Source organism: Homo sapiens, chromosome Y (assembly GCF_000001405.40).
Source record: "Homo sapiens chromosome Y, GRCh38.p14 Primary Assembly".
Classification (NCBI taxonomy): Eukaryota; Metazoa; Chordata; class Mammalia; order Primates; family Hominidae; genus Homo; species Homo sapiens.
Genome location: NC_000024.10, coordinates 19,214,358 through 19,231,983, shown reverse-complemented (window position 1 = coordinate 19,231,983; position 17,626 = coordinate 19,214,358).

Below are 17,626 nucleotides of genomic sequence, written 5' to 3'. Positions count from 1 at the left end.
TGTACCTCACTATCACCAAAGACCAAAGGTAGATAAAACCATAAACATGGGGAAAAAACAGAGCAGAAAAGCTGAAAAGTCTAAATATCAGAACATCTCTCCCCCTCCAAAGGAATGCAGCTCCTTGACAGCAAAGGAACAAAGCTGGATGGAGAATGACTTTGACCAATTGAGAGAAGAAGGCCTCATATGATCAAAATTCTCTGAGCTAAAGGAGGAAGTTTGAACCCAACGCAAAAAAGCTAAAACCTTGAAAAGAGATCAGACAAATGGCTGACTAGAATAACCAGTGTAGAGAAGTCCTTAAAAGACCTGATGGAGATGAAAACCATGGCATGAGAACTATGTGATGAATGCACAAGCTTCAATAGCTGATTCAATCAACTGGAAGAAAGGGTATCAGTGATTGAAGATTAAATAAATGAAATGAAGTGAGAAGAGAATTTTAGAGAAAAAAAGAGTAAAAAGAAATGAACAGAGCCTCCAAGAAATATCAGACTATGTAAAAAGACCAAATCTATGTTGGATGGGTGTACCTGAAAGTGATGGGGAGAATGGAACCAAGTTGGAAAACACTCTGCAGGATATTATCCAGGAGAACTTCCCCAACCTAGCAAGGCAAGCCAACATTCAAATTCATGAAATACAAAGAATGCCACAAAGATAATTCTCAAGAAAAGCAGCTCCAAGACACATAATTGTCAGATTCACCAAAGTTGAAAGGAAGGAAAAAATGTTAAGGGAAACCAGAGAGAAAGGTCGGATTACCCATGAAAGGAAACCCATCAGACTAACAGTGGATCACTCAAAGACACTCTACAGCCAGGAAAGAGTGGGGGCCAATATTCAACATTCTTAAAGAAAAGAATTTTCAACTTGGAATTTCATATCCAGCCAAACTAAGCTTCATAAGTGAAAGAGAAATAAAACCATATACAGACAAGCAAATGAGAGATTTTGTCACCACCAGGCCTGCCCTACAAGAGCTCCTGAAGGAAGCACTAAACATGGAAAGGAACAACCAGTAACAGCCCCTGCAAAAACAAGAGAAATTGTAAAGACCGTCAATGCTAGGAAGAAACTGCATCAACTAATGAGCAAAATAACCAGCTAACATCACAAGGATAGGATCAATGTCACATATAACAATAATAACCTTAAATATAAATGGACTAAATATTCCAATTAAAAGAAACAGACTGTCAAATTAGATAAAGAGTCAAGACCCATCAGTGTGCTGTATTCAGGAGACCCATCTCACGTGCAGAGACACACATAGGCTCAACATAAAGTAATGGAGGAAGATCTAACAAGAAAATTGAAAAGAAAAAAAGACAAGGGTTGCAATTCTAGTCTCTGATAAAACAGACTTTAAACCAACAAAGATCAAAAGAGACAAAGAAGGCCATTACATAATGGTAAGGGATCAATACAACAAGAAGATCGAACTATCTTAAATACATATGAACCCAATACAGGAGGATCCAGATTCATAAAGGAAGGCCTTACGGAACTACAAAGAGACTTAGACTCCCACACAATAATAATGGGAGACATTAACACCCAACTGTCAATCAGTGTGGTGACTCCTCAGGGATCCAGAACTGGAAATACCATTTGACCCAGCCATCCCATTACTGGGTATATACCCAAGGGACTATAAACCCACTGACATTTTGTGCTCAGACTTCTTCTGGCCTCCAGAACTGTAAAAACAGTAGCTTTCTGTTATGGACGTCACCCAGTCTGTCGTACTTGATGAAAGCATCTGTGGAAAATGCATGCAGCTCATTTGCACAAAGGGAGATTATGTGAATAGTTTTTAGAACTGGCGACCAGGGCTTCCTCCAGGTGGAATCGTTTGTGAAAGTTAGAGGTATAGGTGGTAGAGAGGGCATTTGCTTATGTCTTTGTGAGTGAGGCTAAGAACAAATAATAAGGAAGATTGTTGCAGAGAAAAACCACTCACAAGACACGAGGAAGTTAAAAAGCCAAGAGTTCAAGACAAGCCTGGCCAACATGGTGAAACCCTGTATCTACTAAAGATACAAAGATTATCCAGGTATGGTGGTGGATGCCTGTATTCCCACCTACTCAGGAGGCTGAGGCAGGACAATTGCTTGAACCTAGGAGGCAGAAGTTGTAGTGAGCTGAGATGATGCCACTGCACTCTGGCCTGGGCAACAGAGCAAGACTCTGTCAAATAAAAAAAAAAAAAAGGCAATGAATGATCAGAGTTAGTTTTCCACGCGAGAGTCAGATTCAGATTTTTTTTTTTTAAGACAGAGTTTCCCTCTTGTCATCCAGGCTAGAGTGCAATGGCACAATCTCAGCTCACTACAACTTCTGCTTCCCAGATTCAAGCAATTCTCCTGTCTCAGCCTCCCAAGTAGCTGGGATTACAGGCAGGTGCCACTACACCCAGTTAATTTTTGAATTTTTAGTAGAGACTGGGTTTCAACATGTTGGCCAGCTGGTCTCAAACTCCTGACCTCAGGTCACCTGCTCAGCTTGGACTCCCAAAGTATTGGGATTATGGCTGAGAGCCACCACTGCACCTGGCCTAGACTCAGATTTGTTTTCAACAGGGACTTCCTTTGTTTCCCAGGCTGGAATACAGTGGTGCTATTGCAGCTTGCTGGAGTGTTGAATATCTGTGCTCAAGCCATCACCCTGCTTCAGCTTTCCAAAGTACTGGGATTATAGCACAGCATACAGCAGAGATTCAGAATATTAAGTGGGAACTGGAGTCCCATGTCCTCCATGGAGTTGCTAGAGTCTAGCTCTCAGGCAAGCTGAAGGTCCCATGCAGATGGTTGAGGGTGCATTTGGGAATTTTAGATTCTAGATCTTCTTGGTCATGTGATGGGAAAAGGCTTCATTACCAGTACCCACCAGGATTGACTTCATGGAGCACAAAACTGGAAAGTTGAGGATGAGAAGTGAATATAAGACTATGTCAACAGGCAATAGAAATTTGTGATGATTTTCTTTAAAATCCTGAATTTGGCCAGGCAAGGTGGTCCATGCCTATAATCCCAAGGGCCAAGATGAAATAATGGCTTGAGGCTAGGAATTTGAGATCAGCCTGGACAAAATAACAAGATCCCGACTCTACACAAAATAAAAATAAATAAATAAATAAAATAAAATAGTAGCCAGGCATGGTGATGCATACCTGTTCGCTTAGCTACTCAGGAAACTGAGGTGGGAGGATTTCTTCAGCTCAAGAATTTGAGGCTACATTGAGCTATGATGGTGCGACTGTACTCCATCCTGAGTGACAGAGCAAGATTGTGTCTCTATTAGAGAAAAAAACAATCTTTAACATCCAACGATCACTAACCACAGGCCTTGTGAACATGCCTGTCTCTGACTCTTCTGCTATGTTTGCAGAAGCAGCTTATTCATTCATAATGTGCATGTCAATTTTTTCCACTCTACTGGACAGCTACTCTCTAGCTGTCTTTCTGCCCTCTCTCTTTTATCTACTTCCTGAATACCTGGATGACATGATGCCTTCAGGTTTGGTTTCCACTTGAAAGACCAACCTTTCCCCTTGGGTGATAAATGTAGCACAGAACCTTAGATTTGGGCAATTCTCAAAGACCACCAGCAACAGTGGCACCTGGTGATATCTTCAAAATGCAGATTCTTGGGTTACTTCTAGATTTGCTGGGTCAGAAACTCTAGGGGTGAAGTTCAACACTGAACTAACTTCATGGCTGAGAGCCAAGGATGCTTTTCAAGAATAACCCCAAGGTTGAATTCCTGACTCCCTAGGAGAATGATGCCTTCTGAAGCAGCAACCTGAGCCTGGACATACGATGGACAAAACACCTGCACCTTCTTCTGCCACTGATAAAGACCTTGCTGATAAAACAGAATGCAACAAAGAAACCAGCCAAATCCCACCAAAGCCAAGATGGTGATGAGAGTGACCCCTGGTAGTGCCCACTGCTCATTATATGCTAATTATAATGTATTAGCATGCTATAAGACACTCCCACCAGTGCTATGAGAGATTGCAAATGCCATAACAATGTCAGAAAGTTACCCCATATGGTCTAAAGTTGGGGAGGAACCTCCAGTTCCAGGAATTGCCCACCCCTTTCCTGGAAAACTCATGAATAATATAGGCCATGTTTAGCATATAATCAATAAGTAACATAAAAATTGTCAGTGAGCAGCTCATGCTGCTGCTTTGCCTATGGAGTAGCCATTCATTAATTCCCTTACATTCTTAATAAATTTGCTTTCACTTTACTCTGTGGAGTTTTCATGAATTCTTCCTCACTTGAAGTCCAAGAAACCTCTCTTGGGGTCTGTACTGGGACCAGACCAGTAATGTTAATAGTATACAATTCACTTTGTTAAATGGTGTAGTGTAACGACTATCAGCCTTTTCACAGACTTGTTCAAAAATCACTTTTATCTAGTTCTGGAACATTTTCATCACGCCCAAAAGAGATCTGGTACCCATTAAGCACTCACTCTCTATTCCTCCTTCTCAGTCTCTAGCAACCAGCAATCAACTTTCTGTCCCTATGGATCGGCCTGCCATGGACATTTATATAAATGGAATCCTATGCTATGTGACCATTTGTTTCTGGCTTCTCTCACTAAGCGTGTTGTTTTCAAGGTTCATCCACATTTTAGAATGAATAAGAACTTTATTCATTTGTAATGGCTGAATATTATTCCATTGCATAGACTGTATTTTGTTTATCCAGTTCATCTATTAACAGACAATTATGTTGTTTCCATCTTTTGAAAACGATTGTGAATAGTGCTGCTAAGAACATTTGTGTCCAAGTTTTTGCATGGAAATATGTTTTCATTTCTCATTCTGCAAACTTTTAAAATAAATATGTATGAGCATCTTTAAAAATAGACATATTGTGCCAGGTGTGGTTGCTCATGCCTATAATCCCAGCATTTTGGGATGCCAAGGTGGATGGATCACAAGATCAGGAGTTTGAGACCAGAGTAGCCAACATGGTGAAACCCCATATCTACTAAAAATACTAAAAATAGCTAGGTGTGATGGCGGGTGTCTGTAATCCCATCTACTCAGGAGGCTGAGGGAGGGGAATCACTTGTACCTGGGAGGCAGAGGTTGCAGTGAGCCAAGATCGCACCATTGCACTCCAGCCTGGGCAACAAGAGCAAGACTCCATCTCAAATTAAAAAAAAAAAAAAGAGAGAGAGAGAGAGAGAGAGATTGGCTATGAGCAGTGGCTCACACCTGTAATCCTAACACTTTGGGTGACCAGGAAGGATAATTGTCTGAGGCCAGGAGCTCAGGACCAGCTTGGGCAACATGGTGAGACCCTGTCTCTATTTATAACACAAATAAAAGAAGATAAAATAAAAAGACATTGTTACATGTATAGGTCTTTGATTCAGTTATTGGCCCAGACTGGGTAGGCTTTAATTGGGAGAAGGGAACAAGAAATGGCATGACAATTACTCCAGGTGGTCAACCCTGTCTGCATTTCCAGATCAGTTTTTTGCAAATCTTTGGAGTGGCATCCATACAGTACAAAAATGTAAACATTTGCAATTTGTTGAAATATGCATGAAGGCTGAAACTTATACCCACTCAAGGACCACATGAAAACACAGTGGGAGCCTGGACAAAATGGTGAGACCCTATCCCTACTGAAAAATAAACAAAATTTGCCAGCTGTGGTTGCATCCTTCTGTGGTCTCAACTACTTGGGAGGCTGATGTAGGAGTATCACCTGAGCCTGGGAGGTTGAGGCAGCAGTGAGCCAAAATCATATCCTTGCACTTCAGCCTGGGTGATAGAGTGAGACACTATATCCAAAAAAATAAATAAATAAATAATAAGCCAGATATTGCAGTACATGCCTGTAGTCCTAGCTAATCAGGAAGCTGAGGTGGGAGAATTGCTTGAGCCTGGAAGGAGGAGGCTGCAGTGAGCCATGGTCACATCCAGCCTGGGTGATGGGTTGGAACCATTTATCAAGGAAAAAAGAGAGAGAGAAGGCAGTGAGGTGGGATGGAGATGGGGTGAGGTAGTGTGGATTCAGGTGGCTTCTGTGGCATGTAGGAGAAGCCCAGTGGACAGAAGAGAGCATCAAGGAACAGGGAAACTCATAATCCACCTGTTACTATTCTCGACTTTATCTCTGGTTCAGATAAAGATTTTATCACATGTGAATGCTCACCTGTCTTTCACCACTGCACCTTCATACCACACTTCTTACTGTTATAAATGCAATGCCCTGTGCATTAACCAAAATGTTATTTTACTGCAAACATTTGCAAAATGGATAGGGAGTCCCACCTCCATTAAGATTCAGTTCCTTTGACAAACATGACAAGAACAAGCAATGGAGAAAAGACTCCCAATATAATAAATGGTGTTGGGAAATCTTGTTAGCCATAAGCAGAAAGCTGAAACTGGATCCCTTCCTTACGCCTTATACAAAAATTATAATATGCCTGAAGATGGATTAGGGCTTTAAATGTAAGACCTAAAACCATAACAATCCTAGAAGAAAACCTAAGCAATACCATTCAGGACATAGGCATGGTCAAAGTCTTCATGACTAAAACACCAAAAGCAAAGGCAAAGAAAAAGCCAAAATTGACAAATGGCATCTGATTAAACTAAAGGGCTTCTGCACAGCCAAAGAAACTATCATCAGAGTGAACAGGTAACCTACAGAATGGAAGAAATTTTGTGCAATCTACCCATCTGACAAAGGGCTAATAGCCAGAATCTGCAAAGAACTTAAACAAATTTAAAAGAAAAAAAACACCCCCATTAAAAATTTGGTGAAGCATATGAACAGACACTTCTCAAAAGAAGACATTTATGCAGTCAGTAAGCATATGAAAAAGAGCTCATAATCATGGGTCTTTAGAGAAATGCAAATTAAAAAAACAATGTGATACCATCTCACAGCGGTTAGAATGACAATCATTAAAAAGTTAGAGAACAACAGATGCTGGAGAGGATGTGGAGAAATAGGAAGGTGTTTACACTGTTGCTGGAGTGTAAATTAGTTCAACCATTGTGGAAGACAGTGTGACGATTCCTCAAGGATCTAGAACTAGAAATACCATTTGACCCAGTAATCCCATTACTGGGTATATACCCAAAGAATTATAAATCATTCTACTATAAAGACATAGGCACATGTATGTTTATTGCGGCACTGTTCACAACAGCAAGGACTTGGAACCAACCTATCAATGACAGACTGGATAAAGGATACGTGGCACATATACCACAAGAAATACTATGCACCCATAAAAAAGGATGAGTTCATGTCCTTTGCAGGGACATGGATCACGCTGGAAACCATCATTCTCAGCAAACCAACACAAGAACAGAAAATCAAACACTGCATGTTCTCACTCATAAGTGGGAGGTGAATAATGAGAACACATGGATATATAGAGGGGAACATCATACACAGGGGCCTGTCAGGGGATGGAGAGGCTGGTGACAGATAGCATTAGGAGAAATACCTAAGGTAGATGATGGGCTGATGGGTGCAGCAAACCACCTTGACACATGTATACCTATGTAACAAACCTGCATGTTCTTCAAATGTAACCCAGAATGTAAAGCATTATAATAATATATATAATATATTATATTATTATATATATAGTATGTATATATACAATATAATAATAATAATAATAATAATAATAATAAAAGTTCATCTGTGAAACACAGAAATCCAAATGAACAGTGTTGCAAAAAAGATATATATGTGTTTCACCCTTCTCCTGCCCATGCCAGTCCCCAGGCATGCAGACCAAAGCCTCCTGAGTGATCCACCACTGGGGGAGGGAGGCTAGTCTTGGTTCTGTTGGCCCAAGGTGGTGTCCCTCTTTCTGATGGGAGGATAGAAGTGGGCCAATAGAAAAAGTTGACTCAGGGTACAATGTTTCACATCTATAATACCAGCACTTTGGGAGGCTTAGGTGGAAGGATTGCTTGAGCTTAAGATTTCAAGACCAGCCTGGACAACATAACAGATTCCCGTCTCTACACACACACACAATAATAGTAAAATTAGCCATTAGACATGGTGGTGCAAGCTCATAGTCCTAGCTACTCAGGAGGCTGAGAAGGGAGACCACTTGAGCTGAGATGTTTGACACCAGCCTGGGCACAAAGTGAAATCCCATCCCTACACATGCATACACACAAAATAATAAAATTAGCTGGGCATGGTGGTGCACACTGTAGTCCTAGCTATTTAGGAGACTGACTCAGGAGGACCACTTGATCTCAAAGTTCAACAACAGCCTGGGCAACAAAGTGAGACCCCCACCCTACAAATAAAATAAAATGTAGACAAATAGAAAAGATGTGAAGCAGTTCTTCCTAAGAGGCCTCTGGAAGATGTCCCAGGGCAATACTTTTTTTCATTATGCACCAGACATCTGGGTCCCAAGTCCTTCCAGCTGCAAGGAAGTGAGGGGCATGGTATCCTGACTCCAAGAAGCCAAGTGTTGTGTCCAAGGAGCAATGCATTGGAAAAAGAGAGGAATGAATATCAGGAGTCTCTCCAGGAGGTATTTCCCCCAAGGTTGCGCTATTTCATTCTTTATGTCTGCTCTTTGTGCAAGCAGAGAAAGAGGCTGCTTTGTTGCAGAAATTAGATAAATGCACAAATGGTTACATCTTCAAATAATTAGTGCTCAGGTGATGTTGAAAGCAATATTGATAGGAAAAAATAATTAACAAGGAACTTGCCCCACTCACAGCTGTATGAAAAGATGGAATATATGGCCAAGCACAGTGGCTCACACTTGTTGTCCCAGGACTTTGCAGGCCAAAGTGGATGGATCACTTGAAGTCATGAATTCGAGGCCAGCCTGGCCAATATGACAAACTCCATCATTCCTAGAAATACTGTATAGATAGGTAGATAGATAGATAGATACATAGATATAAATATATCTAATGTAAATGATGAATTAATGGGCGCAGCACACCAACATGGTATAGGTATACATATGTAACAAACCTGCACGGTGTGCACATGTACCCTAAAACTTAAAGTATAATAAAAATATATATAATATAATAAAATAAATATATATATATCCCAGGCATGTGCTACCAGATGCTTGTGAGGCTGAGGCATGAAAATATAGTGAGATCCTCTCTGTACAAAAATTACATTCAAAAAATTAGCCAGAAGTGGTGATATCTGCCACTGAGTCCCAGCTACTCAGGAAGCTGAGCAGGGAGGATCATTTGAGTACAGGAGTTGGAGGCTACAATGAGCTATTGTGTTCAGAATTTTTTCCTGAGAGTGGATTTGTGGTCACCCTGACTTCGAGAACGGAGCCTCGGACCTTTGAGGTGAGTGTTACAGCTCTTAAAGATGGCACAAACATAAAGAGTGACAAGCAGCAAATTTTATTGTGAGGAGTGAAAGAAAAAAGTTTCCACAGCGTGGAATGGGACCCGAGCAGGTTTCCACTGCTGGCTGGGGTGGCCAGCTTTTATTCCCTTATTTGTCCCTGTCCATGTCCTGATGACTGGCCCATTTTAAAGAGGGCTGATTCATCCATTTTACCAAGTGATGATTAATCCATTTTACAGAGTGCCGATTCGTCCATTTTACAGAGCACTGTTTGGTGCATTTTACACACCTCTGGCTAGCTACTGAAAAGTTCCCAAAATCCCTATTTGACCCAAGAAGTCCAGCTGGCTTCACCTCTCAATTCCCCCTCTTAACAGGACATCCCAACTGCTGTTGGGAATCGAGTGATGACCGCTGTAGCTACTGCCTGCTGGATAGGGGCAAAGAAGGGGCCCTGCAGTTTTAGTGTCCTCCAGAGGGGAATTTTTTAGGCCAAAGGGTCAGTGGGTTGAACCACAGGTCATGGGTAGAAGTTATGAGTTGCGCTCATTTTGGATTCCATTTGTAAGACCATCTGTAGCTCAATGGCCTTGATCCTAGAGAAAACAAATCTGATAAGGAGTTTAAAAATACAGGGTCGGAAAGCAAGTAATAGCAAGATGGCTGTCATGACCTAGAAAGGGGAAAAGCTTTGTTGCCCAACCCTAAAGGTCAATATAAGAGTTTGAAAGGCATTGTCTGATTTCAGAAGCCTTTATCAGTAAATGCCAGGTGGCAACTTGTACTGTCCCTGGCTGCTTAGTGTGAAAACAATACCCTTGCCCAAAGGCCCAAAGAAAGTGCAAAGTCCTCCTTTCTCAGCAGTGAGGAGGTCTAGGCCTTGGTGGTTTTGGAGAGTCACTGCTGCCAGTCTATTTGAGATTATAAAGTAAGGATAGATTTTGTTATTTCTTGCAAACTGTCTGAGAAATCCTTTGAGAGTGTGTGGTACTAGGATAATGAAGTAGATAAACCTGCTATTCAGTTTCCTGTAGCACTGGCCATTCCTAATCCTATAAGTAAGGGTATTAGTTGTATGGCTCTGTGATGATGGACTTGAGCTTTGAGGGGCACTGATAGGGTCTGATTTCCATAAGATTATGTTAGGATAATACATGTTACGCTGTTAACTTTTAGCAAACTTTACTTTTGTTGAAAACCTTGTAAGTGTGAGATTTCAATTATTCTTTGCTATTAATAAGACCTCATTCAGTCCATATTAACTTAGAATTGGTATAGATGTCTCTTCCCTGATTCTGTATGTATGTTAAGGTTTGGCTGAGTGCAAACAGCTCTCACGTTTGAGCAGATCAATTATTAGGCAATTTTCCTAACTCTGCTTCTAAAAGAGTTTCCTTATCACTTACTCAATATACATAGTGTCATTTTCCCTAAATAGTCCAGGAGGAACCATCTATCCTCCTGTCCTGAAAGGAGCACCTCCTAGGTCTGGTCAGACCTTTGTATGGTAATTAATTAATATGTAGAGCCTGGGTTAGGAAACATGCTGCGTTAAGGATTTTTGATAGGAAAGCTATTGGTTGTCAATGGCCACAGTGCTTTTGGGCTGCACCCTTGTTTACACTGACAACAAGGTGGCACTAGAGTGTTATAGGATTACAGAGAAGACCTTCAATTATCAATTATAGGTTTTAAATTTACCCTGGCTTTTAAATAAATTGGGTATGCTGTTTTTTCCTTACTAATTCCATCTCTCTCTTTCTCTCTTTCTTTCTTCTCTGCTGGTCTTTCCCTGACTCTGCCAGCTGCTTATGCTGCTCTTCTCCCCTCTCCTTCCCCTTTTTGATGGCTTCAGCAGTGTAAGAGAGCCACTTCCTTGGGTTTTTGTACTGTGTGCAATAACTCCATGATTCCCTTGTGGTACTTAATGGGGGTTCCCTCAGAGGTTAAGAACGCCCTTTCTTTTCATATTGCAGCATGGGCATGTAGGATTAGATAAGCATACTTGCTCTCTATCTGTATACACATTTATTCTTTTTTGCTTTCCCAATAATAAGGCTCAGGTTAGTGCCACTAGTTCTGCTAACTGGGAGTTCATCCCTGGGGGAAGAGGCTTACTTTCAAGTACTGTTACATTACTATGGCATAACCTGCCTTTGTATCCCATTCTCCACAAATGAACTTCCATTGGTATATAGGTTAAGGTCAGGATTGACTAAGGGGACTTCTAAGAGAGGATCTTGGGTGGCATAAATCTGGACTATAATTTGTTGGCAGTCATACTCGATTGATTCTCCATCCTCTGGGAGAAAAGTGGCAGGGTTAAGGGACACACATGTGCATATCTGAAGCACAAGTCCCTCAAAGAGTAGTGCCTGTTATCTAAGCAGGTGGTTGTCAGATAGCCATAAACTACCTTGGCACCTAGTATGGCATTTACATCATGAGTAGTCCAGACAGTGAGATCTTTTCCTTGTTATTATTTTGGTAGCCTCTGACACTAAGACAGCCACCGCCACAAATACCCATAAACAGTGAGGCCAGGTTTTTGCTACTATATCAATTTCCTTACTTAGGTATGCCACTGGTTGTGGGATTGTCCCACAAGTCTGAGAAAGTACTGCAAGAGCTATTCCTGCTCTCTCTGTGATGTATAAAGAGAAGTTTTTTCCTGTTGGAAGTCTTAAGCCTGGAGTTTGTACTAGGGACTGCTTTAAGGTTTTGAAGGCTGTTTCTGCCTCTGGTTCCCATTCTACTAGATGAGTATTTGCCCTCTGAGTCTCCTTGGTTAGAGTAGAGGGGCCTGGCCATCTCACTGTATTTATGGATCCATAGTTGGCAAAAGCCCGTGATTCGAAGGAACACTTGCAACTGTTTTAATGTCTTGGGGCTAGGATAAGCCAGTATAGGCTGTATTCATTCCTTGCTGAGGGCCCTGGGAGGTGTGAAAATTTTCTCCCATTTTGTAGGATGCCTGTTCACTCTGGTGATAGTGAATTTATCCATTTCTTCTAGATTTTCTAGTTTATTTGCATAGAGGTGTTTGTAGTATTCTCTGATGGTAGTTTGTATTTCTGTGGCATCTGGTGGTAGTTTCTATTGCTGTGCAGAAGCTCTTGAGTTTAATTAGATCCTGGTTCCTCTGGCTAAGATTAGGCCTAGATATTTGACTTATTGGAGGCAGATAAATTCCTCGACACATACACCCTCTCAAGACTAAACCAGACAGAAGGTGAATCTCTGAATAGACCAATAACAGACTCTGAAATTGTGGCAATAATCAATAGCTTACCAACCAAAATGAGTCCAGGACCAGATGGATTCACAGCCAAATTCTACCAGAAGTACAAGGAGGAACTGGTACCATTCCTTCTGAAACTATTCCAATCAACAGATGGAGTGCACCTCTAGCAAACTCCAAAAGACTTGCAGCTGAGGGTACTGTGTGGTAGAAGGAAAACTAACAAACAGAAAGGACATCCACACAAAAAGCCCATCTGTACATCACCATCATCAAAGACCAAAAATAGATAAAACCACAAAGATGGGGAAAAAACAGAGCAGAAAACCTGGAAACTCTAAAAAGCAGAGTGCCTCTCCCCCTCCAAAGAACACAGCTCCTCACCAGCAATGGAACAAAGCTGGATGGAGAATGACTTTGACGAGTTGAGAGGAGAAGTCTTCAGACCATCAAACTACTCTGAATTACAGGAGGAAATTCAAACCAAAGGCAAAGAAGTTGAAAACTTTGAAAAAAATATAGACGAATGCATAACTAGAATAACCAACACAACAAAGTGCTTAAGCTGATGGAGCTGAAAGCCAAGGCTCGAGAACTATGTGAAGAATGCAGAAGCCTCAGGAGCTGATGTGATCAACTGGAAGAAAGGGTATCATGATGGAAGATGAAATGAATGAAATGAAGCAAGAAGGGAAGCTTAGAGAAAAAAGAATAAAAAGAAATGAACAAAGCCTCCAAGAAATATGAGGCTATGTGAAAAGACCAAATCTATGTCTGATTGGTGTGCCTGAAAGTGATGGAGAGAATGGAAACAAGTTAGAAAACACTCTGCAGGATATTATCCAGGAGAACTTCCCCAATCTAGCAAGGCAGGCCAACATTCAGATTCAGGAAATACAAAGAACATCACAAAGATAATCCTTGAGAAGAGCAACTCCAAGACACATAACTGTCAGATTCACCAAAGTTGAAATGAAGGAAAAATTGTTAAGGGCAGCAAGAGAGGAAGGTTGGGTTACCAACAAAGGGAAGCCCATCAGATTAACAGAGGATCTCTCGGCAGAAACTCTACAAGCCAGAAGAGAGTGGGGGCCAATATTCAACATTTATAAAGAAAAGAATTTTCAATCCAGAATTTCATATCCAGCCAAACTAAGCTTTATAAGTGAAGGAGAAATAAAATACTTTACAGACAAGCAAATGCTGAGAGATTTTGTCACCACCAGGCCTGCCCTAAAAGAGCTCCTGAAGGAAGCGCTAAACATGGAAAGGAACAAGTGGTACCAGCCACTGCAAAATCATGCCAAGTTGTAAAGACCATCGAGGCTAGGAAGAAACTGCATCAACTAAAGAGCAAAATAACCAGCTAACATCACAACGACAGGATCAAATTCCCACATAACAATATTAACTTTAAATGTAAATGGACTAAATGCTCCAATTAAAAGACACAGACTGGCAAATTGGATAAAGAGTCAAGACTCATCAGTGTGTTGTATTCAGGAAACCCATCTCACATATATAGACACATATAGGCTCAAAATAAAAGGATGGAGGAAGATCTACCAAACAAATGGAAAATAAAAAAAGGTAGGGGTTGCAATCCTAGTCTCTGATAAAACAGACTTTAAACCAACAAAGATCAAAAGAGACAAAGAAGGCCATTACATAATGGTAAAGGAATCAATTCAATGAGAAGAGCTAACTATCCTAAATATATATGCACCCAATACAGGAGCACCCAGATTATAAAGCAAGTCCTGAGTGACCTACAAAGAGACTTAGACTCCCACACCATAATAGCGCAGGACTTTAACACCCCTCTGCCAACATTAGACAGATCAACAAGAAGGAAAGTTTATAAGGATACCCAGGAATTGAACTCACCTCTGCACCAGGTGGACCTAATAGACATCTACGGAACTCTCCACCCCAAATCAACAGAATATACATTTTTTTTTCAGCACCACACCACACCTATTCCAAAATTGACCACATAGTTGGAAGTAAAGCTCTCCTCAGCAAATGTGAAAGATCAGAAATTATAACAAACTGTCTCTCAGACAACAGAGCAATCAAACTAGAACTCAGGATTAAGAAACTCACTCTAAACCACTCAACTACATGCAAACTGAACAACCTGCTCCTGAACGACTACTGGGTATATAATGAAATGAAGGCAGAAATAAAGATGCTCTTTAAAACCAATGAGAAAAAAGACACAACATACCAGAATCTCTGGGACACTTTTAAAGCAGTGTGTAGAGGGAAATTTATAGCACTAAATGCACACAACACAAAGCAGGAAAGATCCAAAATTGACACCCTAATATCACAATTGAAAGACCTAGAAAAGCAAGAGCAAACACATTCAAAAGTTAGCAGAAGACATGAAATAACTAAAATCAGAGCAGAACTGAAGGAAATAGAGACATAAAAAAACCCTTCAAAAAATTAATGAATCCAAGAACTGGTTTTTTGAAAGGATCAACAACACTGATAGAACTCTAGCAAAATAAAGAAAAAAGAGAGAAGAATCAAATATATGCAATAAAAAATGATAAAGGGGATATCACGACCGATCCCACAGAAATACAAACTACCATCAGAGAATACTACAAACACCTCTATGCAAATAAACTAGAAAATCTAGAAGAAACGGATAAATTCCTTGACACATACACCCTCTCAAGACTAAAGCAGACAGAAGGTGAATCTCTGAATAGACCAATGACAGGCTCTGAAATTGTGGCAATAATCAATAGCTTACCAACAAAAACGAGTCCAGGACCATATGGATTCACAGCCGAATTCTACCAGAAGTACAAGGAGGAACTGGTACCATTCCTTCTGAAACTATTCCAATCAATAGAAAAAGAGGGAATCCTCCCTAACTCATTTTATGATGCCAGCATCATCCTGATACCAAAGCCAGGCAGGGACACAACCAAAAAAGAGAATTTCAGACCAATATCCTTCATGAACATTGATGCAAAAATCCTCAATAAAATACTGGCAAACCAAATCCAGCAGCACATCAAAAAGCTTATTCACCATGATCAGGTGGGCTTCATCCCTGGGATGCAAGTCTCATTCAATATACGCAAATCAATATATGTAATCCAGCATATAAAGAGAACCAAAGACAAAAACCACATGATTATCTCAATAGATGCAGAAAAGGTCTTTGACAAAATTGAACAATGCTTCATGCTAAAAACTCTCAATAAATTCGGTATTGATGGGACATATCTCAAAATAATAAAAGCTATCTATGACAAAGCCACAGTCAATATCATACTGAATGGACAAAAACTGGAAGCATTCCCTTTGAAAAGTGGCACAAGACAGGGATGCCCTCTCTCACCACTACTATTCAACATAGTGTTGGAAGTTCTGTCCAGGGCAATTAGGCAGGAGAAGGAAATAAAGGGTATTCAATTAGGAAAAGAGGAAGCCAAATTATCCTTGTTTGCAGATGACATGATTGTATATCTAGAACACCCCATTGTCTCAACCCAAAATCTCCTTAAGCTGATAAGCAACTTCAGCAGTCTCAGCATACGAAATCAATGTGCAAAAATCACAAGCATTCTTATACACCAATAACAGACAAACAGAGAGCCAAATCATGAGTGAACTCCGATTCACAATTGCTTCAAAGGGAATAAAATACCTAGGAATCCAACTTACAAGAGACGTGAAGGACCTCTTCAAGGAGAACTACAAACCACTGCTCAAGGAAATAAAAGAGGATACAAACAAATGGAAGAACATTCCATGCTCATGTGTAGGAATAATCAATATCATGAAAATGGCCATACTGCCCAAGGTAATTTATAGATTCAATGTCATCCCCATCAAGCTACCAATGACTTTCTTCACAGAACTGGAAAAAACTACTTAAAAGTTCATATGGAACCAAAAAGAGCCCACATCATCAAGTCAATTGTAAGCCAAAAGAGGAAAGCTGGAGGCATCACACTACCTGACTTTAAGCTGTACTACAAGGCTACATTAACCAAAACAGCATGGTACTGGTACCAAAACTGAGACACAGATCAATGGAACAGAACAGAGCCCTCAGAAATAACACCACATATCTACAACCATCTGAACTTTGACAAACCTGAGAAAAACAAGCAATGGGGAAAGGATTCCCTATTTAATAAATGGTGCTGGGAAAACTGGCTAGCCATATGTAGAAAGCTGAAACTGGATCCCTTCCTTACACCTTATACAAAAATTAATTCAGGATGGATTAAAGACTTAAACGTTAGACCTAAAACCATAAAAACCCTAGAAGAAACCATAGGCATTACCATTCAGGACATAGGCATGGGCAAGGACTTCATGTCTAAAACACCAAAAGCAATGGCAACAAAAGCCAAAATTGACAAATGGGATCTAATTAAACTCAAGAGCTTCTGCACAGCAATAGAAACTACCAACAGAGTGAACAGGTATCCTACAAAATGGGAGAAAATTTTCACAACCTAATCATCTGACGAAGGGCTAATATTCAGAATCTACAGTGAACTCAAACAAATTTACAAGAAAAAAACTAACAACCTCATCAAAAAGTGAGCGAAGGATATGAACAGACACTTCTCAAAAGAAGACATTTATGCAGTCAAAAAACACATGAAAAATTGCTCAGCATCACTGGCCATCAGGGAAATGCAAATCAAAACCACAATGAGATACCATCTCACATCAGTTAGAATGCCAATCATTAAAAAGTCAGGAAACAACAGGTGCTGGAGAGGATGTGGAGAAATAGGAACACTTTTACACTGTTGGTGGCACTGTAAACTAGTTCAACCATTGTGGAAGTCAGTGTGGTGATTCCTCAGGGATCTAGAACTAGAAATACCATTTGACCCAGCCATCCCATTACTGGGTATATACCCAAAGGACTGTAAATCATGCTGCTATAAAGACACATGCACATGTATGTTTATTGTGGCACTATTCACAATAGCAAAGACTTGGAACCAACCCAAATGTCCAA